We start from the raw sequence: 1,494 nt of genomic DNA on the forward strand, positions 1-1,494 counted from the left end.
AGCTCCCATTTAGAATTGAGAACATGAGGTACTTAGTTTTCTGTTCCAAGCAGTGAAGCTTAAGTAGACAATCGTAGTTTATTTTCATGAGTTGTAGTCAGTTTATGAGAGTAAGATTCTGTTTATATTTTGATTTTATATAAATATAAGTTAAGATGTAAGACTTATTTCTTGTTAACATGAAAGCATCTGACCAATCTGTATAGTACCTTCCGAAAATCTAGCTAAATGTAATTATACAAGATTTATTTATTAAACTCCTACTGTCTCTCAGGTATATTAATTAGGTGGTGGTCATGCAATGGTAAAAAGGTAAGGTCTCAACCTTTAATACAGTTGAGAAGAGGGAATTATATAAACAAATAAGTGTAATGAAGTGATATTACAAGAGAAACCTGCACTAAAGAAATTTACATTGAAGGAGAGTTTAAAACTAATATTCTACAAGTTCTCACCCAACCATCTACTCACCGTGCTTAGTCAACATCTGTCTAGTAGCCCCTGTGACAAGGAGGAATAAACCTTCCCAAGAATGTGTTATATCCACATTAAACTATCATAACCTTTGATTACTATGTTTCTGTTCTAAATGTTGAATGTCCTGTCTGAATTTGGAAGGAATCTCTGCAGATTGATAAGAGGGTGGAAGGTTCATGTTCTGGTTTGTCTGCAGGAGGAAAACAACTCTTAGATGAAGATTCATTCACTGAGATAAGTCACGATCCACTCATCGTGTGCCTCCCTGCATTCGTGCCTGTTGGGTCTTTGTTCGTCAGCTGAGGCTATGATGTGCCCATGGGGCAACCACGGGATTGGCTCATTAACCCTCTCCCAAGACCTCACACAGAGAGGGTGAAGAGCACTGGCTCACTCGCTGCTGCTAAACCTGAAGAGCAGGGGCCTCAATCCTTCTTCAGGAAACTTACCTGGAAGTGAACGTGGGGTCTGGGGACAGAAGTGGGGAGTTGTGAAGAGACAGACCTTTTTAAGAGTGGCTGTGATGTCAAGGGAGGGTGCTGGATATTGTCTTGCCCCACCTTCTTCCTATGTCTGATGGAGTTTCCTCTCTAAGTAGCCATTTTATTCTGCTGACTCACCCTCTAACTCCTGGTCTTATTCCATCCTGTCTCAGGGTCTGTGGTGTAGTCATAGCACCTAATGAGGTAGCATTTGTTTAGTGAGATCAGGGTGACTCTTCATTCAAAAGCTTTTGGGCTAGTGCATGCATGAATGGCATTGGAATGGGCAGCAGTTTCACTGTAGGGAGGTGGGTAGGATGCCTGCAGCTACCTCAGGCTGGGTGGAAGTTGTTGACCCTGGTTGATGGTATTAAAATATGACTCAGCAATCTCCTTCATCATCCTAGGCCCAAGAGGTAGAACTGGAACGTGGAATAGGGACAAGGCTGAGAACTCTCCTTCCACTGGCTATGGTGGAAGTATAATTCACAGATAACTGCCCTGATCCATCATCCATGAAATGTTCACAGATATA

At 41.8% G+C, this 1,494-nt stretch overlaps 2 annotated features.

Annotated features, from left to right (window-relative positions):
• Positions 295–1,494: an enhancer, noted in NCBI's record as "BRD4-independent group 4 enhancer chr8:82695196-82696395 (GRCh37/hg19 assembly coordinates)". NCBI's record gives its function as "activates an origin of replication core promoter dependent on BRD2, P300/CBP, MED14 and CDK7 cofactors, and independent of BRD4, by STARR-seq in HCT116 cells {active_cell/tissue: HCT116}" and the evidence as "EXISTENCE:reporter gene assay evidence [ECO:0000049][PMID:35650434]".
• Positions 948–1,242: an enhancer, noted in NCBI's record as "tiled region #4986; HepG2 Activating non-DNase unmatched - State 24:Quies, and K562 Activating DNase matched - State 8:EnhW". NCBI's record gives its function as "activates a minimal TATA promoter and a strong SV40 promoter by Sharpr-MPRA in HepG2 and K562 cells {active_cell/tissue: HepG2 | K562}" and the evidence as "EXISTENCE:reporter gene assay evidence [ECO:0000049][PMID:27701403]".

Source organism: Homo sapiens, chromosome 8 (genome assembly GCF_000001405.40).
Source record: "Homo sapiens chromosome 8, GRCh38.p14 Primary Assembly".
In the NCBI taxonomy this organism is placed as follows: domain Eukaryota; kingdom Metazoa; phylum Chordata; class Mammalia; order Primates; family Hominidae; genus Homo; species Homo sapiens.